General features: G+C 53.4%; 1 protein-coding gene across 1 annotated transcript in view, besides 2 other annotated features; it reads left to right on the forward strand.

Annotated features, from left to right (window-relative positions):
- Nucleotides 1-27,513, forward strand: part of CRAMP1 (cramped chromatin regulator 1) — a 65,549-nt gene that overhangs the window by 21,100 nt on the left and 16,936 nt on the right. The window contains exons 5-11 of the mRNA NM_020825.4: nucleotides 4,365-4,448; nucleotides 7,680-7,728; nucleotides 19,037-19,122; nucleotides 19,574-19,697; nucleotides 21,760-21,841; nucleotides 22,418-23,533; nucleotides 26,427-26,604. Coding sequence (NP_065876.3) covers nucleotides 4,365-4,448; nucleotides 7,680-7,728; nucleotides 19,037-19,122; nucleotides 19,574-19,697; nucleotides 21,760-21,841; nucleotides 22,418-23,533; nucleotides 26,427-26,604 — 1,719 coding nt within the window. The remainder of the gene's footprint in view (nucleotides 1-4,364; nucleotides 4,449-7,679; nucleotides 7,729-19,036; nucleotides 19,123-19,573; nucleotides 19,698-21,759; nucleotides 21,842-22,417; nucleotides 23,534-26,426; nucleotides 26,605-27,513) is intronic.
- Nucleotides 12,589-12,808: a silencer, noted in NCBI's record as "fragment chr16:1696049-1696268 (GRCh37/hg19 assembly coordinates)". NCBI's record gives its function as "represses an EF-1alpha promoter that drives an FKBP-Casp9 reporter gene in an ReSE screen in K562 erythroleukemia cells {active_cell/tissue: K562}" and the evidence as "EXISTENCE:reporter gene assay evidence [ECO:0000049][PMID:32094911]".
- Nucleotides 17,830-18,004: a silencer, noted in NCBI's record as "fragment chr16:1701290-1701464 (GRCh37/hg19 assembly coordinates)". NCBI's record gives its function as "represses an EF-1alpha promoter that drives an FKBP-Casp9 reporter gene in an ReSE screen in phorbol 12-myristate 13-acetate-treated (for megakaryocytic differentiation) K562 erythroleukemia cells {active_cell/tissue: K562(+PMA)}" and the evidence as "EXISTENCE:reporter gene assay evidence [ECO:0000049][PMID:32094911]".

The following is a 27,513-nucleotide window of genomic DNA, read 5'->3' on the forward strand; positions in this document are numbered from 1 at the left end:
CCGATGCGGTTTTGTTTGTTTGCTTTTGGTATCCACGTGACCATTCATGTAAGATTTTCTGCTGACTTCACCTATTTATAGCACATCAGTTCCGTTTTGTCCTATATTTGATGCCTGTGCTGGTCTTCTCATGTTCAGCTCACTTGTTTATTTGAAATCTCAGCACTGGTCAGATCCCGTCATCCAAGGCTGTTGTGGTTAATGTCAGGTTGTGGTGAGTGGCCTTGTGCCTTCCAGAGTGGCACGCAGCACCGACTTTTCATTGTCGGCCTCTTCCTGTGTCGTCTGTCCTTTGCATCGTTCATTAGTGCCTTTTTGAAAGACAGTCCAGGCTGCGCGCGGTGGCTCATGCCTGTAATCAGCACTTTGGGAGGCAGAGGCGGGCGGATCACGAGGTCAAGAGATCAAGACCATCCTGGCCAACATGGTGAAACCGCATCTCTACTAAAAATACAAAAATTAGCTGGGCATGGTGGTGCACACCTGTACTCCCAGCTACTCGGGAGGCTGAGGCAGGAGAATTGCACCACTGCACTCCAGCTTGGCCACAGAGCAAGACTCCGTCTCAAAAAAAAAAAAAGAAAGAAAGTCAGTCCATGAGAGCAGATCTGCCATCCACTGTGGCTGGTCTTGAAAAGCTCTCTATGGGGGAAGCTGGCCAGCAGCGGAGGGGACTGGGCAGCTGTTTAGTAGATGAGGTATAGAGAGAGGGATGGGATTCCAGGAGCTTCGGTCTAGTGTGCTTTGCTTGAACCATCTGCGGGCAGGGTGGGAAGCGTCTTTGGACCCTCAGGCTCCTGGCGTAGACTTATCTCCTCTTCTGAGGTTCAAATGCACATTCTACTTGCCAACCCAGGCTCTCTCCCATGTCAATTTCAGAAGGCAGTCAAAGCAAACATTTCTTTTCTAATTGTGTCACCTTTCCCTGTTAAACAACCTCCTAATCCTAAACTTGCTGGTGCGAGGAGGCCTCATTCCTCTTTGGCCCTTCTGTCCATCTAGGGTGAAGGGTAAATGCTCCCTCACACCTCTCGGTGGGGGGTCACACCCAACACAGGTCCTTTTCCCTTCTCCGTGTGGGCCCCTGTGCTTCCCTCTCTTCCTGACCTGGCACAGCAGGCTCCTACAGCCTTGGTGTCTCCTGTTCGTGCATCTTTGGTGTGACCCCACATGATGTGCCTTCTTCCTGTTGAGCTCACCGTTCTCCCGTGTTCTCCCGGGTTCTCTGATGGCCCTGACTGTCTCTTCAGCAGGGCTGTCTGCCTCCGTGCCAGCGGGCAGCGGCATTGGGGCACCCGATGCTGACTTGCCCAACAGGAGCATGAGGCTGGAGGCCACTAGGACACTGCGAAGTGACTGGCCCCATGGACTGTCATTGCGCATCAAACAGAGTGGCAACTTTTTCACGTTACATGTATTTTTGGCGTGCTTTGGAGTTTTGTTTTGTTTTGTTTTTTGAGCCAGAGTCTTGCTCTGTTGCCCAGGCTAGAGTGCCATGGCGCACTCTCAGCTCACTGTAACCTCCATCTCCCAGTTTCAAGCGATTCTCATGCCTCAGCCTCCCGAGTAGCTGGGATTACAGGTGTGCACCACCACACCCAGCTAATTTTATATTTTTTAGGAGAGATGAGGTTTCACTATGTTGCCAAGCTGGTCTTGAACTCCTGAGCTCAGGAAATCCACCTGCCTCGGCCTCCCAAAGTGCAAGGATTACAGGCGTGAGCCACCACGCCTGGCCTGTGCTTTGGAGTTTTGAAGAGCACACCGTGTGCACTTTATCATGGGTTTGTCTGACTCATCTTGTGGCGTGAGACACAGAGTGGTGGCAAGCGAGCGTGGAAGGGACTGACTCCGCCCCCAGCTTGGGGGCCTTGCGTGTGTGTTCGTCTTACTAATCTCCCGTGGTTTCCATGCACATCTGCGTTTCCTTGCTGCTGTCCATTGCTCAGTGGAGATTTTGCTTCACGAACTCAAAGTTGGATGAGGTGAGCTTGGTTCCTGTCCCTGAGTGTGTAATAAAACATGAGGTGCCACCTAGGAGGCCGTGGGGCCAGGCGGGGCATCAGGGACACCTCCCGGAAGCCCTGCTTCGTCCCAGGGTCCCACCTCCCCTGGGGTCCCTTGTCTGCAGTGTCTTGCTCTTGGTGCTACTTTCTTGTTTCTGGGTTGTGGGTTTTTTTCTTTTTGCCATTTCAAATAGTGGACTTTAAAATATATATTTTAGAAATGGGGATATTATTCACCCTTTTAAAGCATACAACTTAGTGGTTCTTAATGTACTTACAAGGTTATGCAGCCATTGCCACTCTCTAGTTGCAGAATATGTCCATTGCCCAGGAGGAAACCCTGTGCCCCGGTGCTGGGAGCCCTCAGTTTACTACCTCCTGTCTCTATGGATCGTTCTACTCTGGATGTTTCATAGAAATGGGATCACGTGCTATGTGTCCTTCTGTGCCTGGTTTCCTTCACTCAGCGTCAGGTTTCAGGGTTTGTCTGTGTTGTAGCGTGTGCCAGTCCTTTGTATGGCTGGATTATTTTCCTTTGGGTGGATGGCCACATTTTGCTTGTCTACTGAATAGTGGATCTTAAAGCTTTCCGAGTCATGGGCTCCTTTAAGAAAGTCTGATGAGGCCAGGCGTGGTGGCTCACGCCTGTAATCCCAACATTTTGGGAGGCCGAGGTGGGCGGATCACCTGAGGTCAAGAGTTTGAGACCAGCCTGACTAACGTGGTGAAACCCCGTCTCTACTAAAAATACAAACATTAGCAGGGCGTGGTGGCGCATGCCTGTAATCCCAGCTACTTGGGAGGCTGAGGCAGGAGAATCCCTTGAACCTGGGAGGCGGAGGTTGCAGTGAGCTGAGATCGCGTCACCGCACTCCAGCCTGGGCAACAAGAGCGAAACTCTGTCTCAAAAAAAAAAAAAGAAAGAAAGAAAAAAAGAAAGTCTGATGAGCCCTTAGGTCTTAGGTCTTTCTCTCAGAAGAGCCTTTGAGAGCAGTTGGCCTGTGCTTAGCCGTGTCCGAGACCCATGGTCCAGAATCCTCCTCATATCTTGAAAGCCTGCTTCTCCATTTACCAGTCTTAGGGCCTTGAGAACAGGTCTCTGAGGAGAGAACTAGAGAGGACAATTGTGAGAGTAGAGGGGACAAATGGCCTTCACCCCTGCTCTGTGAAGTGACCCAAAGGGGCCTGGACTGTGTTGTCACTTGGTTTCCCTAGCAGGATTAGGTCTGGTGTAATACAGTAACAAAATGCAAAATAGCAGTGGCCCAAGCGCCTCAGAATTCACTGTCTCGTGGCAGAGACGCCTAGAGGCTGGCGCCCAGGGCAGGCAGGACCCAGGTGCCTCCCATTCTTGTGCTTGGCTGTCCTTGGTGACAGCTCCAGGCAGTGGCTCTTGAGGAAAGAGGGGTGGGAAAAGGGGAACCCTCCTGCCCAAATCAGGCTCTTTAAGGAGGCTTCTGGAAGTCTCCACTACTTCCAGTGGTGTAGCCATGACCAGCTGTCCATGTCTCAGCCTGTTTGCCTCCCAAATAAAACAGGGGCCTTGGCTGGGCACGGTGGCTCATGCCTGTAATCCCAGCACTTTGGGAGGTTGAGACAGGTAGATCATTTGAGGTCAGGAGTTCGAGACCAGCCTGGCCCACATGGTGAAACCCTGTCTCTACTAAAAATACAAAAATTAGCCAGGCCATAATGGTGTGCACCTGTAATCTCAGCTACTTGGGAGGCTGAGGCAGGAGAATCTCTTGAGCCTGGGAGGCAGAGGTTGCGGTGAGCCGAGATCATGCCACTGCACTCCAGTCTGGGCGAGAGAGTGAGACCCTGTCTCCAAGAAAAGAAAAAAAAAAAAAACAGGGCCTCTTACTGAGGAAGGAGAATGGGCCTCAGGCAGGGGTGAGCACCTGTCCTTGGCTCCTCCTCCCGCCTGGGCCCGGGCTATGCAGATCCACTGTCCTGGGAGGGCACAGGTGAGGCAGGAAGGCAGCATCCAGGTTTCAGGGCTGCTGGCCTCACCTGTGTGCAGAGATGGATGACAGGTTTAGTGCTGGCCACATCTGCCACCTTCACGAGTACCAGCTGTTCTGAGTGTTGTGTTTTCTCCTCCAGGGGACATTTCCTCTGCCTATTGGGGTAAATTTCTAACGCCCCACTTTGGTTTAACTTTTTATTTTGAAAATCGCAGACACAGCACCGTGTTCTATACACTCTGCCCAGTGTCCCCTGTGGTTGACAGCTTGCATGACAAAGGTACAGGGAGGAGATCCAAGAAACCACGTGAGCCTGGTGTGGCTCTCACACCCAAGCCAGGCAGCGCCTCCTGTTCCCCTCTCTAAAGCCGCCTTCTCTTCTGTTTCTCAGTGTTCTCTCGAGGCCTGAAGAAGTCATCCCAGGAACTGTATGGCCTGATCTGCTATGGCGAGCTGCGCAAGAAGATTGGGGGCTGTGAGTACGCTGACTGTGGGGTTGCCCACGGCTCCTCCTGTCCTTTGTCACCTTTGGGCTTTAGTGCTCAGAGTTGTTTCTAGTTTCCCTCTAACTTTTATCTTGAAAAAATTTTACTAGAAGAGGTGAAGAATATGATGGCGGCCGTGCTCTTTAGCTTAGATGGACCTGTTGCTGACGTTGGCTACATTTGCTCTCTTTCTCCATGCACATGCACACATGCTCGCGTGCACACATGTGTTCACACACTCTGCATTCCACTCGACTGTAAGATGTCACGCCACAGCCCAGAATACCTCCACCGGCATCACCTCAGAGAACATTTCTCCTATATAGCCTTGATACCATGGTCGCACCTAGACTTTTAGCATTTACCAAACAGGTGTAGTGATCTTACCTAATTTCCTGCCCATATTCAGATTTTCTAAAACATCCCAAAATATCAGTCAGGGCTTCTGTCAAGGGCCGTTGCCCTGCATGTGACTGTGGAGTCTCCCTTGGGTGTCTTTGACTTAGAGCGGCCGCACTGCCTGGGCTTCTGAGACATTGCAACGCGCTCAGGCCTTCCTCACGCAGGCCCTTGCTTGGATTTGTTCCGATCGTCTCCTCGGGACCAGATTCCCTTGAGACATTTTTGACACGACCTCTAGGTAGGGACATTGTAGACTTACCAGGCGCTTGTGCCCAGCGCCCCTCAGCCCTGCTTCTTCTGCCTGACTTCATAAGAAGAGAGCATGCCTGGGCTGTCCAGTGGGCACTGTAGGGGATCCCCCCCTCTTCAGTGGGATACTGCACGACCACGCCAGCTAGCATGTCACAGCTCAGGGCGGGTGGTGGGGCTGAGAGGACAGATACGGAGCAGTCGCCCTGTCTGTGCCAGGCCTGCACCACACTCTGTCCCCTTGCTGCCCCTCCATGCCTTGCTGTGTCCTGCGGGGTGGCTGCTGCAATCTAGTGTGGCATTTGTGTGTGGGAGGCCCTGCCCTCCTGCACTTCCCCACTGGGTCTGTCCCCTGTGGGCCCAGCCACTCCTCTTACCTCCTCCAGCCTGCCTCTCCAGCCCGCACTCATGTCCGTGGGCCTCGTGTCCCAGCTCTTCATGCCTGTTCCTGCCGCCTCTCATCTGCCCTCTCTCAGCCTTGGGAAGCATCCCAGGCCCCAAGGAGTTTACGCCACAGCTCTCCCAGCTCTCATCTTCCCCAGATAAAGGAAAACCCCATCTTGACCATGTGTTCCCACTCCTTGTTGCCTGGTCCTTTTGCACCACTGCTTGTTCTGGTTTCCTCCCTAGAAGCTTCTGAGAGGTGGAGGGTGTCCAGGTTCTTGGCATTTCGAACAAAGAATTGTACAAAATGCACAAACAAAGCAAGGGAAGAATGAAGCAACAAAAGCAGAGATTTATTGAAAACCAAAGTACACTCCACAGGGTGGGAGTGGGCCCGGACGTAGGGGCTCAAGAGCCCTTTTACAGAAGTTTCCCCCTCTAGAGGGGGAAACCTCTAGAGGTTTCCCATTGGCTGCTTGGTGTACACCCTATGTAAATGAAGTAGTGGCCAGCAATCAGAGACTGAAGTGAGGTTACAAAGGTTACACTCTATGCAAGCATCTGATTGGTTGTGGAAAACAACCAATCAGAAGCTAAACTGGTTACAAAGTTACACTTCTTTGCAAAGGAAGACTTGGCCCCAGTCTTGGGGAAGACTTTTTAGACTTTTTCAAACCTAGCAGAAGCAACCAGTCAGGCTGAAGTGAAGTTCCAAAGTTGTACTCCTATGTAAATGTCCGATTGCTTTCTGCTTTCTGCAACCAATCAGAGATACTTTCAATTTCCCATCTGCCATGAAGAAAGAAGGGGAGGGGGCGTTGCAAAGGGAATAGCGTGTCTGGTCCGTTTGTTACTTAGGTGTGGAAAGTTGGGGTTTTCCTTTTGATTTAGTTCTAGGAAGTCAGCGTGAATTGGCCTTAGGTTCCCTACCTCTAGACCCTATTCTCCTGCCTCATGAGGATGCTCAAGTTTGATGAAAATAAATGACTTGATTGCTGAGTGAGGGGCACACTGCTCCCAGGCTTCCAACCCTTCATCCGGGAGCAGGAGAGGTGGGGCACGGTGACCCTGTGGCATGCCATGCCTGGCCGGTTTCCGCAACCGGTTCCTTTCTTGGTGCCTCGCCTGGCGACAAGAGCCCTTTCCGGTGCTTTTCATTCCTTCCTGAAGTTCCGTTTCCATCTGGCTTTGTTTCCTTTCTTTCTGAAAAACCTCCTGTATTTTTTTCCGTGCAGTTGTGCCGGCTGTGAATTCTTAGTTATTATTAATCTGAAAATTCTTTATTTCATCTTCATTCTTAAAAGATGTATTTGCCGGATAGAGAATTCTGATCTGACGGGTTCATTCTTTCATCACATTGACACCGTTGTCTGCTGCCTCTTGGCCTGTGCTGCTCTGATGAGAGGGGTCAGTGGTCATCTATGCCCTCATTCCTCCGTGCGAGGTGCATTGTCTGTCTGTGGCTGCTTTGACAATTTTGTCTTTGGTTTTGGTTTTCAGCCTGGTCGTTCGTTTGTGGAGTTTTTTTCCCTAAAACATGCAGAAGAATTCAAAGAATTTTACAGTGAACAGCCAAGTACCCAGCACCTAGTCTCTCCCGTTAACGTACTGTAGCTGCTTTCTTGCACATCTTGAAGATAGTGAAGAGTCCCGAGCAGGTCACAGGAAATGGGGCGTCTGCTCCAGGAAACTCAGAGGGTGTCGGAGTCTTCATTCTGTGGACCCTGGGTGCCTTGGGGGTTCCACACTGTGGGCCGGAAGGTCAACACCGGACACTGTCAGTACGAGCCCAGCAGGAAGTGTGCGTGGGCAGGTGTGGTGCCTGCAGGAAGCAGCTGTTGAGCCAGGCAGATAGGGATGAGTGGAAGGCCGGCGCTGGGGGACCTAGGAGGGAGCTCTTGGGAGGACAGATCAACTGGTCAGAGGCTGGGTAGTGGGCCTGCCTGAGGAGGGGGCCAGGCAGGGGCGTGCCAGGCTTTCAGGTGAGCGGGGGCGACCAGGGCAGCTGACTCGAAGGTGTGACTTTGAGGGAGGGGCTGCAGCTACTGTAGGGCTTTTATTCCAGAGGAACTTTAATATTCGGTAATGGGATTTGAGTCTATATTGAGCGGAATTGTATGGGAATCTTCAGTGGCTTTGCTCCTAACTACATTGTGGTCTCATTTATTTATTTTTTCCATTTAAAGGTATGGATGACAAGAATGCAACAAAGCTGAATGAACTCATTCAGGTTGGGTAAGTCCCAGTTTCCATGTGAAACATCACTTCTCTGGGTGTTTTGTGTTTATTCTCTAAAATACAGAAGCTGAAATGCTCTCAGTGAGGACCTTCCGAGTTAAAACTTCATAACCTCTCAGTTACGTGTTCAGTCCCAACAAAAGGTGCTTGGTCCAGGGAGCAGTGACTGCGCCCAGAGCCTGTGCCTGCCCCGGGGAGGGAAGGAAGTGCCGTCTTTGGCCTCCTCCTTCCCGAGGGTCTCTGGCTGGGCGTTGTGGTCTCGACGCAGCACTCAGGGCCCTGCTTTTTGTGCTCCTTTTCCTCCACCTTTGTGCCTGCTGTGGGGCTGGTCCCCGGCTTCTAGGGCCTCTCCTTTCCATTGCATTTTTGTCGTGTCCTGGGCCACTTCTGACAGCTTCCCTGCCTTCTTGTGCCCTGGATGCTTCTGTCTCCAACTGGCCGCTCTCCTCCCCTCACACACCTGACTCCCAGAGGGCACATGCTCTCCTGGCCACACAAACAACCGGGCCCCTGATGGTCCAGTTGACATCTGCCCAGTTGCTGCTGTTGGGCTGCACTTCAGGGCAGGGCCCCGCCACCCTACTCCACAGCCTGGGGGTTCCCTGCTTTACAGCTTGGGGAAGGTCCCCACGCCACAGCCTGGGGGGGTTCCCCACTCCGCAGCCTGGGGGTCTCCACTCCGCAGCCTGGGGGGTCCCCACTCTGGAGCCTGGGGGGGGGTCCCCGTTCCACAGCCTGGGGGTTCCCAGTGCACAGCCTGGTGGGGTTCTGTGCATGTACATTTCTCACCTGGTGTGGGTCCTCATGGGTAGCCATCCCATCTTACATCCATCCCGCCCACTGACCACACCAGAGCTATCCCGGCAGCCTGGCTGACTGCTCTCAGTTCACTGAACCACAGATATTGGGTCTGCACAACCAGCCCCGATCCTTGTGGGTATGCCACCCGCACCCAAGAGCCCTGCCCTTGCAGCCACTCCTGAACAGTCCTTACCCATCTCTCTTCCGTCCATAGCACTTCACCCTTGGACCTCTGGTTGCTTTTCCCCTTGGCCCTTCTCCCCCAGGCTTGTGTCTGATGACCTGGGAACCCTCCCTGCCCCAGTGGGAGCAGTGCCTGCTGGGCCAGCACAGGCCTTCCCTCCAGTCCCAGCACAGCAGGTGTTGGGCATGATTCCCAGGCTGTGTGTGAGCTGCCACCAGCCTGCAGCCAACGACTGTAACTGGGTGACCACAGCCACCAGAAAGTGCAGCCAGCTTGCCCCAACACTGGACAGACTTCCCAGAGTGGGTCTGGGGTACAGCCAGGGGCCGCCAGCCATAGGGAGGGTGTTCACCGCCTTGCCCAGGCGCCCCTCCCAGCTTCAGAGCCCTGCTTCCTTCCCACTCTTGCTCCTGCTCTACCTCCATCAGGCAGTATCTGGCTTATCCTGAGCAGCACTGGGCACATTGGAGGAACCGTCTTGAGAAGGCCCAAGATCCAAGGCTTGGTTGGTTTCTGATGTCAGCTGACCAGTAGGCAAGGGGCTGTCCCATGAGGGAAAACACTGCCGCAGGATCCATACTTGGGGCAAATCTTACTTCACCTTTTATTTCATTTCCTCCATGATTGATGGAATGAAGCCAGAGTTCCAGACTCTTTGCTGTATGCTTGAGGACGGTGCACAGAGTGGCCTGTCCGATGAGCGTTCCTTTTGCCAAAACACAGATGTGCTGCCCAGCGGGGGCGTGGTGGGCACCTGCAGCGCCATCCGCGGGAGAACTTATGTAAGAAATAGATTCCTTCTGACCACACGGGCACAGGGAGTTCCCAGGGACTGGAGACACTTGACAAACAAATGCAGGTAGTAGCTTTGTGGAGGTCTTGGGCCTTTAAAAAAAACCAAGGAAGGAGAAGGAAAGAAATGGTTACAAAGAGTATTCTAGGGACAACTCGGGGGGCTTTGATTATGGGCTGCGTGATAGAGTGTAGTCTCCCGAGTGATGACAGGGTTGTGGCTTGCAGGACTAGAGGTGCTGGCTAAAGTGTGCAGAGGGAAAGTGCCTTCTGGTATAAAGAACCCTCAGGTTGCCCAGGCGTAGTGGCTCACGCCTGAAATCCCAGCACTTTGGGAGGCCAAGGAGGGTGGATCACAAGGTCAAGAGTTCGAAACCAGCATGACCAACATGATGAAACCCCGTCTCTGCTAAAAATACAAAAATTAGCTGGGTGTGGTGGTGCATGCCTGTAATCCCAGCTACTTGGGAGGCTGAGGCAGGAGAATCGCTTGAACCCGAGAGGCGGAGGTTGCAGTGAACCAAGATCCCTCCACTGTGCTCCAGCCTGGGTGACAGAGGAAGACTTTGTCTAGGGGAAAGAAAAAAAAAAAAAACCCTCAGGTGGTTCTGCCGAGGGAAGGGCAAGAAGCAGGCATGGGCCTGGGCCATGTCTGTACTCAGTAGCATGTGTGCTAGCGCCCCTCCAGCCTCATCCTCCCGGGCAGCAGGTGCGTGGACAGCGGAATCGAAATGTGTCATGAGCTTATGCAGCACGCTTGGTGCCATTTACAGTCATGCCATCTGCCACTCTGAGAACCAAATGAAGAGGGAGCCTGGCATGGGTCCCCAGCTCCTCCAGGCCGCGTGTTGGGCATGTTGGCCAGAAGGCGGCATGGCTGAATGTCGGCTGTCATCCTCTGCTGTGCTCCTGCAGTGGAGGGGCTCTGAGATGACTGACTGTGGGCCTAGGCGGTGGGCCTGTCAGCAGGATGGCAAGATTGATTGTCCTTTTTCTTAAGGAAGCTAGTGTTGAGGTAGCTCACCTGGCTACCAGCTTGTCTGGAAAAGACTGGGCAGGTGGCAAAAGAAAAGGTGAGCTCAGGTGTGGGCGCTGATGGGGAATTTGCCCGTGTAGCCAAGGATTTTGGCAAATGGCAGGTGAAGGCAGTGCTGACTCCTGGACCGAGTGCTGGGTGAGGCCGCAGCGAGAGTGGGAGCCTGCGCTAAGGGACTTGGCCGTTCTCACCTGACTCTCTGGGCCCCAGCCTCACCTGTCGTATTGTCATCCTCCAGAGAGGTGTGAGACACGGAGAAAAGGTTTGGAACAGCATGGTACCAGCAAGGAAAGATTTCTGTCTGCACCCATGGAGAGATCTGAGGCAGAACGGCTGCTGAATAGTGTGTTCATTGGTTCTGGAAATGTCTGGGTGCCTGTGTGTGCCTGGCACAGGAATGGGTGCTCGTTATGCAGTGGTGACAGCTGTGGTGTGGCAGCTGATGCATGTCCATTGAACAGGTCACCTTAGCATGTGGTGTAGACATGTACAGTAACTGGGGATGAAAGTTACTGTGAAACTGACGTGGCAGGTGGGTGCAGACATGGCAACTGGCAGGAAGGGAACCTGCCTGGGGCGTTTAGGGAAGCGATCAGGGGCCACACAAAGAGTTGGGGAATCACCTGGCCCAGGGAAAGGAAGGTGGGAAGGAGGAACTGGGTCATGGAAGCCTCAGGAGGGGAGGGGAGAGGAAGAGTGCAGAGCTGAGGCTGGAGGGCTGGGCCAGGCCCAGCTCTGAGCACAGGAGGGTTTGCAGCAGGAGAGCCCCTCGTTCTGGGTAAAACTGTGCCTCTCGTTCCCTGTGGAGAAGAGATGGGGACGCTGTTGGAGGTGGTGTGGTGTGGTGTGTACATTCTTTTTCTTTCTTTCCTTTTTTAAATAGAGGCGGGGTTTCGCCATGTTGCCCAGGCTGATCTCAAACTCCTGGGCTCAAGTGATCCTCCCGTCTTGGCCTCCCAAAGCACTGATATTACAGGCATGATCCTTCACACCTGACCCATTTTTTGCTTTAATATTTTTACTTTTGTTCTTTTTTTTTTGCTTTTTGTCATAGTTATAGAAGTTTGTTTTAAAACATTTTAGTTTTTAGAGCAGTTTTAAGTTGACAGAAAAACTGTGTACAGAGCTACGCCCCTCCCCTGCCCCACACGATTTCCCCCATTATTAACACTTCGTTGGTTTATTTTCTTTTGTTTTGTTTGAGATGGAGTCTTGCTCTGTTGCCCAGGCTGGAGTGCACTGGCGCGATCTTGGCTCACTGCAACCTCTGTCTCCCAGGTTTAAGCGATTCTCGTGCCTCAGCTTCCCGACTAGCTGGGATTACAGGCGCCCACCACCACGCCCGGCTAATTTTTTATATTTTTAGTACAGACGGAGTTTCACCATGTTGGCCAGGCTGGTCTTGAACTCTCGACCTCAGGTTATCCTCCCACCTTGGCCTCCCAAAGTGCTGGGATTACAGGTATAATTAACACTTTGCATTCGCGTGGTCCTTTTATCACAACTCATGAGGTTTCCTTGACCCTTCTTCATCACTCAGAGTCCATAGTTTACTTACAGGCCCACTCAGCGTTGTGCCTTCTGTGGTTTTGGACAGATGGGTAATGACATGTGCCCACCCTTCTGGCATCACACGGGGGCAGTTCACTGCCCTGAACACCCTGTGCTCTGCCTGTCACTTCGTAGTGCCCCCAGAAGCCACTGGTCTCACTCTCTCTAGCTTCACCCCAGCAGCCTCTAGTCTCCCGCTCTCTCTAGCTGCACCTTTCCCGGAGTGTCGTCGTCACATTGGAATCATCCTGGGCTTAGTTTTGTAGATTGGCCTCTTCACTTACAGTTCTAGAAGTTTTCACAAATTTGTAGAGTTGTGTAGCTGCCACCACTGTCAAGATATGGAACGCTGCCAGCAACCCCCAAGTCCCCTTCTGTCCCTCCCCCACACCTTGCCCCAAGCACCCTTTGCGCCACTCTCCGTTCCCTGTAATTTTGCCTTTTCCAGAAAGCCATCTAAAGGGAATCGTGGTGTGCAGCCTTCTGAGATGGGCGTCCCCACTCAGCAGTATGCCCTCGAGGCTCTTCCGTGTTGACTTGTGGATCTGCAGCTTATACTTTCACCTGCTGAGTCATGTTCCACAGTGTTGACATGCTGCACTGTGTTATCCCTTCCAAGTGGAGGGACCCAGGGCTATTTGCAGTGTTTTAGTGTTGATGAAGAAGTGCCCAGGCTTTGCCTCCAGGTTTTTGTGTGAGCGTGGTTTTCGGTCCCCAGGAGGAGGAGGAGGTGGGAGTGTGTGTTTGGCTTTACATGGAGCTGCCAGACTCTTCCAAGAGAGTTGCAGTTGCTTCCCACACTCCCCAGCACTCAGCGTGTTCGGGGTGTTTGTCTTTCTAAAGTCACCCTAGTAGGTGTGGAGTGGCATCATGCTGTGGTTTTGATGCGTTTCCCTGATGACTCATGACACCGAGTGTCTTTCTCGTGCTTATTTGCTGTGTGTCTTTGGTGAAGTACCTGTTTTCTTCTTCTTGAGTTTAGAGAATTCTTTGTATATTGTAGACACAAGTCTTCTGTTGGATACTCCATCTGCAAATACTTTCTCCTAGACTGTGGCCTGTCTTTTTGTTCACTTACTGTCCTGCACAGAGTGAAAGTCCTTCGCTTTGATGAAGTCAAGTCTGTCACTGTTTTCTTCTATGGTTTATGCTTTTAATATGACATCTAAGAACTCTTTGCCTAACCCAAGGTCACAGAGATGTGCCCCTGTGTTTTCTTCTAGAAGTTTTCTAGTTTTACATTTAAATCCATGATCTGCTTTGAATTAACTTTTGTGTACCATGTGAAGTTTAGGAGGAGCTTTGCTTTTTGTCTGTGGGTGTCAAGCTGTGCCATCTGAAAGGACTGTCTCTCCTCCATTGAGTGGCCTTTGCATCCTTGTCAAACATCAGTTGACTGTACCGTGTGGTTCCATTCTGGACCTTCTGTTCTGTCAACTTTTGTGACCGTTCTTTGACCAGCAGACATTCGTATTTACAAACAAACAGGAAACCTGTCAAGGTGAGAGATTGGGAAAATGACTGAGGTGCCTGTGGGAGGCTACCCCTGGATTTCAGCCCAAAAGCGATTGGGGTATTTGACTTGCTGTCGCCTCTACCTCTCATGCAGACCTGTTTCAATTAACTGTGAATCTTCTTTGGTTTTAGAATTGTAAAATTAAATTAAAGACTAAATGAATTGAGTAAAGCTCTAAACTAAAGTGAAAGCTTACTACGTGGTTCGCAGACCCAGAGGCCTAAGTTTATCACGTGCTTATTAGATTTATCAAGTGGTTTTGCAGAGAAGAGAATAAATGTATCCGAAACGAAAGCCAGGCTCCCATGTACATAGAGGGATTACTCTGTTTTCGATTCAGAAATGCTGTTCTGTTCTGCAATGATATTTCTATTCTGAAATGCTATTCACCTAGGCGTGGTGGCTCACGTTTGTAATCCCAGCACTTTGGGAGGCCGAGGCGGGTGGATCACTTGAGGCCAGGAGTTCGAGACCAGCCTGGCCAACATGGTGAAATCCCGTCTGTATTAAAAATACAAAATTAGCCGGGTGTATGTTGGTGTATGCCTGTAGTCCCACCTACTCGGGAGGCTGGGGCATGAGAATCGCCTAAGGCCCTGGATTGGGAGGCAGAGGTTTTAGTGAGCTGAGATGGCACCACTGCACTCCAGCCTGGGCGACAGAGTGAGACTCTGCCTTAAAAAAAAAAAAAAAAAAAAAAAAAGCTACTCATGGAGGGGTGTAAATAGAGCCTCTGTTTGAGGGCTCACTTAGAGGTCAGCTTGTGATTCTTCTCTTATAGCCCTGTGCCGGGCCTATCTGGGAAGTCTTAGCCTGTCTTACAGCTTCCAGGCTGGTGCGAGGATGGGGAGGTATGGACCCACGTCCCGGAACTGTGACCAGGCCTAAGCGTCACCCTGGCTTTCGCACTTGAACATGGCTTTTCATCGTGTTCAGTGTCGCAGCCTCAAGTCGGTCGCAGAACTTCCATTTGAGAGAAAAAGACGGAGGACTGTAACCTCAGAATGGTTCCATATGAATGCAGAAGGGTGCACTTAGTTTGATTGAAGGAAAAAAAAAAAGGAAGTCACAAAATAGCAGTTTAACGGAAAATGTGATTATTGAAAACACAGGTGCCACATGACACAGCTCCGCCAGCTGTTTAAATCTTGCCTACTACTGTTGTTTTGGGGCAGATGGAATAAAAAATGGTGAGTGGAAACGTCCATTTGTTTCCAGAGCACTTCATTGGAGGAGATTATTTTAGAATTGACTTGAGCCGGGTACAGTGGCTCACGCCTGTAATCCCAGCACTTTGGGAGGCCGCGGCTGGCGAATCATTTGAGGTTAGGAGTTCCAGCCTGGCCAACATGGAGAAACCCCGTCTCTACTAAAAATACAAAAAATTAGCCAGGGGTGGTGGTGGGCGCCTGTAGTCCCAGCTACTTGGGAGGCTGCGGCAGGAGGATCACTTGAGCCCAGGAGGTGGAGCTTGCAGTGAGCCGAGATTGCACCGCTGCACTCCAGGCTGGGCAACACAATGAGACTCTGTCTCAAAAAAAAAAAAAAAGAATTGACTCCATGCTTAATGACTGCTTTTGACCAATGTTTCCCCTGGTTCCTTCTGCTGCCGCCCTACTCTGACATCATTAATGTTCATAAAACTGCTGTGGCACTTAGATCTGTGTATTTCAGCTGGGTTAAGGTGGTTTAAGAATTTTGTCTCAGGCCGGGCGCGGTGGCTCACGCCTGTAATCCCAACACTTTGGGAGGCCGAGGCGGGCGGATCACGAGGTCAGGAGATCGAGACCATCCTGGCTAACGTGGTGAAACCCTGTCTCCACTAAAAATACAAAAAAATTAGCTGGGCGTGGTGGCAGGCGCCTGTAGTCCCAGCTACTTGGGATGCTGAGGTAGGAGAATGGTGTGAACCCGGCAGGCGGAGCTTGCAGTGAGCTGAGATCATGCCACTGCAGTCCAGCCTGGGCAATAGAGCAAGACTCCATCTAAAAAAAAAAAAAAGAAGTTTGTCTCAGTACAACATGTTGTTCTCTGGGGACTCATCCTCTCTAAATTATCCCTCAAGACAGAAAATCTGTACAGACAGAAAGGGGGTGAGGGCATGGAAGTTTTTTTTCTACCGTCTTGACTCTTTGGTCAGGCTTTCCAAGGCTCAGCTCTGTCCTTTGGTATCCTGTGTTTGATTCCCAGCACTGAAGGCACTCAGTCAGTAGTTGGGTGGGTGGACAGACGGACACGTGAGTGGATGGATGGATGGACACATGAGTGGGTGGGTAGAGGCATGGTCAATGGATAGATAGAAGAGTAGCTGCCATGCATGAGGGATTGTTGAGCTTTCCATAGCTACTGAAACCCAGCTGCTGCTCCTGCCTTTCTGCCAATTGGGACCTCACTGTTTGGCCTTATTTATTTCTATTTTTATTTTTTTATTTTTTTTGAGACGGAGTCTCACTCTGTTGCTCAGGCTGGAGTGAAGTGGTGCCATCTCAGCTCACTGCAAGCTCCGCCTCCTGGGTTCACACCATTCTCCTGCCTCAGCCTCCCGAGTAGCTGGGCCTACAGGCACCCACCACCACGCCTGGCTAATTTTTTATATTTTTAGTAGAGACGGGGTTTCACCGTGTTAACCAGGATGGTCTCGAGCTCCTGACCTCGTGATCTGCCTGCCTCGGCCTCCCAAAGAGCTGAGCCTACAACAGTAGGCATGAGCCACTATTTTTTTTTTTTTTTTTTTTTTTTTGAGATGGAGTTTCACTCTTGTTGCCCAGGCTGGAGTGCAGTGGCGCAATCTCAGCTCACTACAACCTCTGCCTCCTGGGTTCGAGTGATTCTCCTGTCTCAGTCTCCCGAGTAGCTGGGAGTACAGGTGCATGCCACCATGCCCGGCTAATTTTTGTATTTTTTGTAGAGACAGGGTTTCGTCATATTGGTCAGGCTGGTCTCGAACTCCTGACCTCAGCTGATCTGCCCACCTTGGCCTCCCAAAGTGCTGGGATGACAGGCGTGAGCCACCGTGCCCGGCTTGTTTGGCCCTAAACACTTGATTAAAGCCTTAGGTTTTTGGGGTGATGGTAAAATCTTTGTGGGGTATTGAGACTGCATAATGCTGAAATTAGAGCTAGGACCCTTTTAAAAGGATGGGGATTGCAGCTTTGTTTACTGGGATGTGGAGATTGTGGTGTCACCCTTTTTGCCTGTCTGAGGTTGCCAGAACTGGCTGTCTCCATTAGACGCCCTCAGCAGAGGCTGCTTTTCAGCCAAACTGCGGGAGTCATCTGGAGAGTCCCTCCCACGCAGCACTCGCTTCAGACTCTTGTTCACATTTTGATCTCTAATTTTGGTCAGCATTGTATTGGAATAAGATTTTTTAAAAACTATACAAGTAATGCATAAATATAAGTCTTAAGCAATTTTCAAACAATACACAGATAAAATATAAGACCCTCTTCACCACCCCATCCTGCTCATCTCATCGAAGCTAACCACTTACAGTCATTTCATGTGTGTCTTTCTGAATTTTTTTCTTAGTGAATTTACATAAGTAAGTGTACAGGTACAAATATAGATACATATAGAGATGAAGATGTAATTTTTTACGCATCCTTAGAATCACGCTCTGTTCTGTAGCTTTTTTCATAGACTGTTTCTTAGAAATTGAATAGCAACAGCAAATATAGAAGCAGCAACTCTCCTACCTGACGTGTGCAACTGGGAGTTGGTGAATTCCTAAAATTGGTTAAGGCAGAAAGCCGTAAAAACAAGATACACATGCCCTGAGCATTTTGTAAAACACAAGCCCATTGTCGTTCACCAGCCAGTGGGCCGCTGCCCAGAGCCATGTCTTGACTGGGGTCCACTCCTTGGAATTCAAGTTGGTTTTTCTCTCAGATCAGAAACTCCTCACAGGGAGGTCACATAGAGGTGGACTGAGAAGTCACAGAGGTAGACTGAGCTCACACAGAGGTCATGGAGAGGTGGATTGAGGTCACACAGAGGTCACGGAGAAGTGGACTGAGAGGTCACAGAGAGGAGGACTCAGAGGCCACAGGTCATGGAAAGGTAGATTGAGGTCACAGAGGTCACGAAAAGGTGGACTGAGGTCACGGAGAGGTGGACTGAGGTCACACAGGTCACAAAAAGGTGGACTCAGAGGTCACAGAGTTGGACAGGTTACACAGAGGTCACACGGTGGACTGAGATCACGGAGAGCTGGACTGAGGTCACACACAGGTTATGGAGAGGTCGACTGAGAGGTCACACAGAGGTCATCTAGGGGTGGATTTAGGTCACGCACAGGTCACGGAAAGGTGGACTGAGAGGTCACGGAGAGGTGGACTGAGGTCACAGAGGTCACCTAGAGGTGAATTGTCACACAGAGGTCATGTTGAGGTGGACTGAGGTCACACACAGGTCATCTAGAGGTGGATTGAGGTCACACACAGGTCATCTAGAGGTGGACTGAGGTCACACAGGTCATTTAGAGGTGGATTGAGGTCACACAGTTCACGGAGAGGTGGGCTGAGGTCACACAGAGGTCATGGGGAGGTGGACTGAGAGGTCACCTAGAGGTGGATTGAAGTCACACAGAGGTAACCTAGAGGTGGACTGAGAGGTCACGGAGAGGTGGACTGAGGTCACACAGAGGTCACCTAGAGGTGGATTGAGGTCACACAGAGGTCATAGAGAGGTGGACTGAGGTCACACAGGTCACAGAGAGGTGGACTGAGAGGTCACACAGAGGTCACAGAAAGGTGGATTGAGGTCACACAGAGGTCACAGAAAGGTGGACTGAGGTCACACAGGTCATCTAGAGATGGATTGAGGTCACATGGAGGTCACGGGGAGGTGAACTGAGGTCACAGAGAGGTCACGTAGAAGTGGATTGAGGTCACACAGAGGTCATGGGGAGGTGGACTGAGGTCACAGGTCATGTAGAGCTGGATTTAGGTCACACAGAGGTCACAGGGAGGTGGACTGAGAGGTCACGGAGAGGTAGACTGAGAGGTCATGGGGAGGAGGACTGAGAGCTTCTGCTCTGAGGGCCCAAAGTGGGAGGACTGCACAGAGCTGGGGCAGTGGAGAGAGGGGTGGCCATCTGAGGGGACCCCAGGATAGTGGCTTTTCCAGGGATGGGACATCAGCTTGTGCCAGGCCAGTCACCAAGGCAGGAGGGCACAGCACATTTTCTGTAAACAGCAGGTGTCCCTTGGAGTGTGAGGTGTGGTCAGGAAAGTAGCAGGATGTGCAGAGTCACCACTTCTTGTTTGTCACTGTGTCCTCCCACTGTCCTACGCGGGCTCGAGAGGCTGGGGTGGATGCTTGGCCAGGCCCCACCTGGCCTGGCTCAGCGCCTCTCCGTGTGCTGGCCCTTCCGTCCTTCTGTTCACTCACAGGCCTCAGCGTTCCTTCAAAACTCTTTTCCCAGGGCCACCACTGTACGTTACAAAGGGCGGAACCTGCGGATCAAAGCGCCCATGTGCCGGGCCCTGAAGAAGCTGTGCGATCCAGATGGTAAGTGAATGGGGCGCTCCCGGGACCAGAGGCGGTGCCCATGGTGTCCCATTCAATGATGGGCAGGCTGAGCTACCGGGTTGCTGCCACAGTTGCTTTGTGTCTGACCCTGCTTAATCCCAGGGCTGCACATGGACCACTCTTGAACTTGAAATGCTCCCTACGACCACTCAGTCAAGTTGAGCTCAGAGCCATGGCAGCAGTCAGCAGAGTGGTCGGAGGTTGTCAGGATCGAGTCTCCTATGGCCTCTCTGGACCAGTCTGTGGCCTTTGCAAACCCCTGAGCAGCTACATTGGAGTTTCTTCTTCGCTGGGGTTTCTCTGCTCTCCTTGCCTCTGTTTGCAAGGCCATCTGCTCACAGCTGATTTCACTGGTTTTTCTGGCCCAGCCCTTGGTTTTCTACCTTAAGGTTGGGCTGCACTAAACTTTCATGGTTCTTCTGCATTGCAGGCTTGAGTGATGAAGAGGACCAGAAGCCAGTGCGCCTGCCTCTGAAAGTCCCTATAGAGCTACAGCCGCGGAACAACCACGCCTGGGCCCGTGTGCAGAGCCTTGCCCAGAACCCACGCCTCAGGTAACATGGCCCTTGGCACGCAGAGGGGTCCCAACTGCTTGAGCAGGACTGGAAGCAACGTGTGTGAGTTTCCCTCAAGGAACTTCCAGGAGAAGCAGGTCCACCCCTATGCTCTGTCATCACACGAGGACGCAGCAGTGTGGAGGCGACTGGAGTCCAGGGAGCACTGGGCTGCAGTCCTGTATCTGGGCAGGGATCGCCCAACCTGTGTTCAGGCCGTGGAGGGGATGTCGCGGTGAGAAGAGGAGCTGCAGAGCCTTCCTTTCGTCCCCCACTAAGGCCCATACAGTTCCTCTCCCACCCGCTTCTTGGAGACTCGTGGCTCGCATATGCACAAGGCGCCATCGTGGAAATGGACCCTTTTTCATTTGTACATTTTAAAAAATGAGGTGACCGGGTGCAGAGGCTCACGCCTATAATCCCAGCGCTTTGGGAGGCCAGGGCGGGTGGATCACGAGGTCAGGAGATCGAGACCTTTCTGGCTAACGCCGTGAAACCCCATCTCTACTAAAAATACAAAAAAAAAAGGTGGCAGGCGCCTGTAGTCCCAGCTACTCGGGAGGCTGAGGCAGGAGAATGACGTGAACCCGGGAGGCGGAGCTTGCAGTGAGCCGAGATCGCGCCACTGCACTCCAGCCTGGGTGATAGAGCAAGACTCTGTCTCAAAAAAAAAAAAAAAAACAAACAAAAAAGAAATTGAGGTGACTGGGTGTGGAGGCTCACGCCTGTAATCCCAGCACTTTGGGAGGCCAAGGCAGGTGGATCACGAGGTTAGGAGTTTGAGACCAGCCTGGCCAAGATGGTGAAACCCTGTCTCTACTAAAAATACAAAAAAAATTAGCCGGGCGTGGTGGTGGGTGCTTGTAATTCCAGCTACTCGGGAGGCTGAGGCAGGAGAATCACTTGAACGCAGGAGGCAGAGGTTGCAGTGAGCCAAGATTGCGCCCCTGCCCTCCAGCCTGGGCCACAGAGCAAGATTCCATCTCAAAAAAAAAAAAAAGAAAAAATTGAGGTAAAATTCACATATCATAAAATGAACTTAGCCTTTTTTTATTTTTTCTTTTTTTTTTCCGAGATGGAGTCTTGCTCTGTGGCTCAGGCTGGAGTGCAAATGGCGCAGTCTCGGCTCACTGCAACCTCCGTCTCCCACGTTTAAGTGATTCTCCTGCCTCAGCCTCCCGAGCAGCTGGGATTACATGCGCGTGCCACCACGCCTGGCTAATTTTTGTATTTTTAGTAGAAACGGGGTTTCACCATGTTGGTCAGGCTGGTCTCGAACTCCTGATCTCAGGTGATCTGCCTGCTTCGGCCTCCCAAAGTGTTGGGATTCCAGGCGTGTGCCGCCGTGCCCGGTGAACTTAGCCATTTCTAAGTTTGCAGTTCAGGGGCATTTAACACGATCACATTGTTCTGTGGCCACCGTCTCTGTCCAGCTCCAGAGCATTTTCATGACGCTAGAAGAGGCCCTGTGCACCTCAGCACTCACTCCTCTATTCTCCATTCTCACCCTCCCACGGCCGCCGGCACCTCCCAGTCCGCCTTGTGTCTCAGTGGACTTGCCTGCTCTGAACGTTTCATAGAAACGGAATCACACGCAGAGGCCTCCGGGCCTGGCATCTTTCACTGGGCGTGATGCTTTTGAGGTTCACCCATCATAGCGCATCAGTACTTCATTCCTTCCGCTCATGTACTTCTCCCTCAGAATGTATTAACACTGTCCAGGCCCGCCCGCCCTTGAAGCCAGAAGGAGCTGGTAGACTAGGCAGAGGCTGTGCGCCAGCACCCACGCCCACGCCCTGGCGGAGACCTTTTGCTGGCAAAGAATACTTGGGATCTCTGTGTTGTTTTCTTTAGCTCTGTGTGAATCTCTGGCCATCGCAGCTGGAAAGGCTGGTTTTTAGCCACAGGAGCCAAGGGCCCTGCAGACGCCCGCTCCCGGGTGCCTCTCCAGAGGTCCCTTGTCTCTTTTGGCACCCTCCTGCTGTAAGCAGCCTCGGGACTCTTCAGATGGTTTCCTTCCTGTTCTGCGAACCTCACTTCCTCCTGTCTGTCGTCTCCGTAGGATGATCGTGGAGCTACATCGAAAGGTCTCCAGCCTCATCGAATTCTTGAAGCAGAAGTGGGCGCTCCATGAGGTGCGAGTTGTATCCTTTTCCAGCTAAAGCAAACCATCCAGGCTGCGCTGCCTCTGCTGCCCAGAGATGGACCACGCCTCCCTGTGCCTGTCATCGTCATGGTCCCCGTGGGCAGAACAGCCATGCTGTGACATGGTGTACATCTGGAACCATAACCTGGAGCCCCTTATTCCCTGGGTGTGGAGCCCCCTCTGTGGCCTTGCAGTGCTAGAACTCAGTCACAGCCAGCCCTCCACGATGTCAGTGGCCTGTGTCTGGCCCACGGGGTGTGGCCAAAGCATTCCTACCAGCAGGTTGAGCAAAACGACCAAGGGTCAGCCCAGCCTTCTTCACATCCATGGCTGGCTCCCGGCCCTGCCTGCTCCCCACATAGGCGTGGTGCGTGTCAGGTGTGAATTTCCTGAAGGTACTAAGTGCCCGGGTCAGCATTGTTGGGTAGTGGTGTGAGGAAAGCCACGGGTGGTGGCATGATTTATACCCTGGGGGATGCCAGTGGGGAGCGTGGCTCGTGTCTGTACCCATGTGCCTGGTCAGCATCCCGACCTCAGTGCTAGCCAGTGTGGGCCTTCCTTGACGGGCACTCAGCGGAAGACACTCGAGGAGCGGCAGCTGCAGGACTCATGCTCCGCACCGATGCAGGAGAAGGTGACACTGCACTTGTTCCCAGGCGAGAACTGTACACTGACACCGCTGCCGGGCGTGGCTCGCGTGGTGCACTCCAAGGCCTTCTGCACAGTGCACTGGCAGGAGGGCGGCCGGTGCAAGCAGAGTGCCAAGGACGCCCACGTGCTGCCCCCAGCCCAGATCCTGGGCATCCAGAGTGGGCAGGGCACGGCCCGGGGCCAGGTGAAATGCCCGCGGAGCGGAGCTGAGGGCAAGGGTGTGGGGCGGCCCCCTCCTGCGGCTGACGCCTTGCAGAGCTCCGGAGAGAGTTCCCCCGAAAGCGCCCCCGGGGAGGGGGCTGCCCTAAGCTTGAGCAGCCCGGACGCTCCTGACAGGCCTCCTCCCAGGCACCAGGACACTGGGCCATGTCTTGAGAAGACCCCTGCAGAAGGCAGGGACAGTCCCACCCGGGAGCCAGGGGCCTTGCCGTGTGCCTGTGGCCAGCTCCCAGACCTGGAGGACGAGCTCTCGCTTCTAGACCCCTTGCCCCGCTACCTAAAGTCCTGTCAGGACCTCATTGTCCCCGAGCAGTGCCGCTGTGCGGACACACGGCCTGGGAGCGAGCAGCCCCCTCTGGGCGGGGCGGCCTCCCCAGAGGTGCTGGCTCCTGTCAGCAAGGAGGCTGCTGACCTTGCTCCCACTGGCCCATCCCCGAGGCCCGGCCCCGGGCTCCTGCTGGATGTTTGCACTAAAGACTTGGCAGATGCACCTGCGGAGGAGCTCCAGGAGAAGGGGAGCCCCGCGGGGCCTCCGCCGTCTCAGGGACAGCCTGCCGCCAGGCCCCCGAAGGAGGTCCCCGCCAGCCGGCTGGCTCAGCAGCTCCGTGAGGAGGGCTGGAACCTGCAGACCTCCGAAAGCCTCACGCTGGCCGAAGTCTACCTCATGATGGGCAAGCCCAGCAAGCTGCAGCTGGAGTACGACTGGCTGGGGCCCGGCCGCCAGGACCCCCGCCCCGGCTCCCTACCCACCGCCCTCCACAAGCAGCGCCTCCTCAGCTGCCTCCTGAAGCTCATTTCCACCGAGGTCAACCCCAAGCTGGTGAGTGGGTTGGAGCCCAGCCCCTCTGGCGGCCCAAGGGAAGCCAGGCCCAGCCTTGGAGGGCTCCCTGCTGGGTAGCTAGGGCCAGCACGGTTGGGGTCCAGATGAGAGAGACAGGGTCCTGTGGCAGGGGGCCAGGAGCCTTCAGGACCTCAAGGAAGTGGGAGAGGCAGGGACCCAAATGGTCCGGGAGACAGAGGCTCTCCACAGACTACTTTCCTCTCCCTCGAGGAGGGATCCTCGGGCACTTGATGAGTGTCCCCACTTACGTGCACGGTTCCAGAAGTGCAGTGATGAGTGGCCTGGGTGCTCCCTTCTGTGTGGGACATGGAAGAAGACGGCCAACAGGCAGGCAGTACCTTGTGAGCCGCCTCGTGTTCCTGGGAGTCTGCCAAGCCCAATCATGCAGCTGAAGGGACAGTGTGCACAGGACCCAGGGTGACAGAGTGAGGCCTGGAGCCGAGCTAGCCTTCTGGCTTATCTAATCACTGTTAACAGGTTTCCACAGAGGGAACGATGGGTGTAGTTCTTGCTCTGGAAAGACCATCCCAGCTGCTGTGCAGATGTGGCAAAGTCAGAGGCTGTCACAGAAGAGCAGGGATGCGGTGCCGCAGCAGAATAGTGGAGCTGGGGACCAGACAGGACGGTCCCTGCAGGGTGTGGGTGGACCCTGAGCCTAGGGAAGGGTCCCTTACCACAGGGAGGCCAGTTGGTGGAGCCGACAGATGGGGTGCAGAAGGCACTGCTGCCAGGAGTAATCCTACCCCACAGCCCCAAGTCCGATAGGATCTCTGGGTGCAAGAGAGCAAGGTCCCACGGCAGGTCCATCCTGAAATGGCACGTTTAGGGGCTGGCGAGCTGCTGGACATGGGCGAGGGGCTCAAAGGATGGACTGGGCAGGAGCTGCAGGTCACTGTGGACCCCTTAGCGCTGTTTCATGGTCAGAATGTGTGTGAGGCTCACATGTCCCTGTGCTGGGGGGACTCGGGACTCGGGCGCTCACGAGCCCCCACACACCCACTGCTCCACACAGGCCGTCTTACAGCTTCTGAGTGATGCTCACTTCTGCCTGCATTCCCCACGCCTCCCGCTTTTTTTCCGCTCCCACCCCCAGCCGGTGCAGGGCTTGCCCCGGAGAGTTGGTCCATCAGCAGGTGGCAGGAATGTGCAGATTTGCCTGGGGAGCATCAAGGGGGCTGGAGGAAAGAAAGTTCTTCCAGGGGTGGTGGAGACTGAGCCCAACCCTCAGGCACCTCTGAGGCCAAGCCTGAGGGTGAAAGTGGCTCGGGGGTCGCATAGCAGGGACACCAGGGTGAGTAAGCGGGGACCAGAAAGACAGTGTCTTTAGAAGGCTTTTCAGGTTTGGCTTTTGGTGGGCTCATGGGAGGGGCTGAGGAGAGACATGGCGCCTGTGTTTGGGTGCCCCAGGGAAGGGGCCAGGGTGGGCTCCTGAGAGGGCAGGCAGCAGTTCTGGGACACAGAGCAGGTAGGAATCCCACATGGAAAGGCATCCCCATCCCCTGGGAGCTAGTTAGGGAGGCTGACTTGGGGTGGGCCTGGCAGACTGGACAGACAGACAGACAGGTGCCTGATGCAGCTCAGGTGTGGGGCCAGGTGGCCCTGTGCTGTCTCTTGCCTGGTGGAGCTGTGACAAGCACCCCAAAAGGCCCGAGCCCCAGAGATCAGGAGATGCCGGAGGCTGCTGAGCCGCTGTCGCAGGTGGAATGAGTAGCATAGGAAGGGTCATGAGGTGGGAGGGGTCCTGGGGAAAGCCTGTAGTATGGGGCTAGGGCCTGAAGGCTCTGAGTGAGCAGACGGGCAGGGCTGTGCTGAGAGCACGGGGTGGAGGGCTTCTTAGTCCATAGGGAGGTTGCCCCGGGTGGGATGTGTGGGGTGTTCAGGAGAGTGAGGAGAAGGAAGAGAGCCGAGAGGCTGGGGTGCTGGCCGAGTCTTCCCAGCGGTGGTGGCGTTTCTGTGGTGAGCCAGACAGGGACCCCAGGACTCGGCAGCAGGCTCTGCAGGCTGTGGCGTGGGCCTGCACATCCCCTGGGGTTGGGCTCTGTGGGCCTGCACAACCCCCAAAGTTGGGCTTCATCCCTGCAGAGTGCTCTTCAGCTGTGCTTGTGTCTGATTCTAGAAAGTCAGCCTATATTTCCTTCCTCTGACTCACAAGCAGAGAGGCTGCTGCAGTCTCATGTTGACTTTTTAATATAGCTTTGAGCTCTTGACACTTGTCACTTGCCATCCGGCACCTCTTCCTGCAGCCTGTGCTGGCACTTCGGGCTGGTTCCCTCCCTCCCACCTCTGCCCGTAGCACGTGGAAAGGTACTTGTGAGGAAGGGAGTGGTTTTCATTACTTACCTGACCAGTGACTTTTATTGATTGATTGATTGATTGATTTTTTTCTTTTTTTTTTGAGACGGAATCTTGCTCTGTAGTCCAGGCTGGAGTGCAGTGGTGCGATCTCGGCCCACTGCAAGCTCCACCTCCCAGGTTCACACCATTCTGCCTCAGCCTCCAGAGTAGCTGAGACTACGGGCGCCCACCACCACACCCGGCTAATTTTTTGTATTTTTAGTAGAGACAGCGTTTCACCGTGTTAGCCAGGATGGTCTCGATCTCCTGACCTCATGATCCGCTCGTCTCGGCCTCCCAAAGTGCTGGGATTACAGGCGTGAGCCACCGCACCTGGCCGACCAGTAACTTTTAAAACTGGCAAGCTGCCAAGCGACTCTGGGGACACTGAGGTTGGGCGTCTCTGGCCCTGGCCTTTGCCGTCATGACACTGTGCTTTCTGAGCTCGATGATTTTCTTGTGCCTCCTACTCCAGGGCACGCAAGAGCCATTTCTCATGTGCTGAGTTTGGACATTGTTTGGCCCATTTCTGTCCTAGGCTCTGGAAGCAAACACCATCTCTACAGCCTCAGTAAGGCCCGCCCAGGAGGAGCAGTCGATGACGCCCCCAGGGAAGGTGGTGACCGTCAGCTCTCGCAGCCCCCGCTGCCCTCGGAACCAGGCCTCCCTCCGCAGCAGCAAGACCTTCCCGCCCAGCTCTGCACCCTGCTCCTCAGGTGAGGCTGTGGCAGCCACACTCCTTGTGCCTGGGCTGCCCTGATGGCACCTCAGGCTTCAGGGGCCGTGCCGAAGCTGAGAGCACAGGTGTGCCTGAGGCCGGACCCCACTGGCCAGCTCGCCACTATCCAGATGACAGGGTGAAGGTGCAGAATCACTGCCTCCTCATGGGGAGGGTGATGCCAGGGCTTGTCGTGAAGGACTTTGGGGTCCCAGGGCGTAGAAGCTGGTGAGAAGCCAGCCTTTGCCAGTCTGGTGACTTTGGGGTCTGCTTCATGGGGCCAGCAAAAGCCTTGCTAATGTGCTGAGTTGGTGGTTCAAAGTCCCTGAGAAGGTTGTTTTTTTTCTGTTTTTCTTTACATGTAAAACCTCAGAATAGAGAATCCTTCAGTTAGGGGAGGTGCCAGTAGGTTAACACAAGTCCCGGAAAGAATGATGGAGCAATCTCCAAGTCCACAGTCTACCCCAGCTGCGTATAGGAAATAATTTAAATTCAGGGATCATAAATTGTGTTCCTGGTACATAAAACCCCAAGACAAGCATGAACAGTTTCCCGAGGCATCAGTTTCACTGGCTTTCAACCCATAGTATTTTTAGAATAAAGCAGAGATTATCATGGTTAGAATGGTGAATTTTTAAGTGTAAAAATGGTGAGTTTTAGACTGGGCACAGTGGCTGATGCCTGTAATCCCAGCACTTTGGGAGGCCAAGGCTGGTGGATCACCTGAGGTCAGGAGTTCCATACCAGCCTGGCCAACATGGCGAAACCCTGTCTCTACTAAAAATACAAAAAACTAGTCTGACGTGGTGGTGCGCGCCTGTTAATCCCAGCTACTCCGAAGGCTGAGGCAGGAGAATCACTTGAACCCGGAAGGCGGAGGTTGCAATAAGCCAAGATCGCGCCACTG

Source organism: Homo sapiens, chromosome 16, assembly GCF_000001405.40.
Source record: "Homo sapiens chromosome 16, GRCh38.p14 Primary Assembly".
In the NCBI taxonomy this organism is placed as follows: domain Eukaryota; kingdom Metazoa; phylum Chordata; class Mammalia; order Primates; family Hominidae; genus Homo; species Homo sapiens.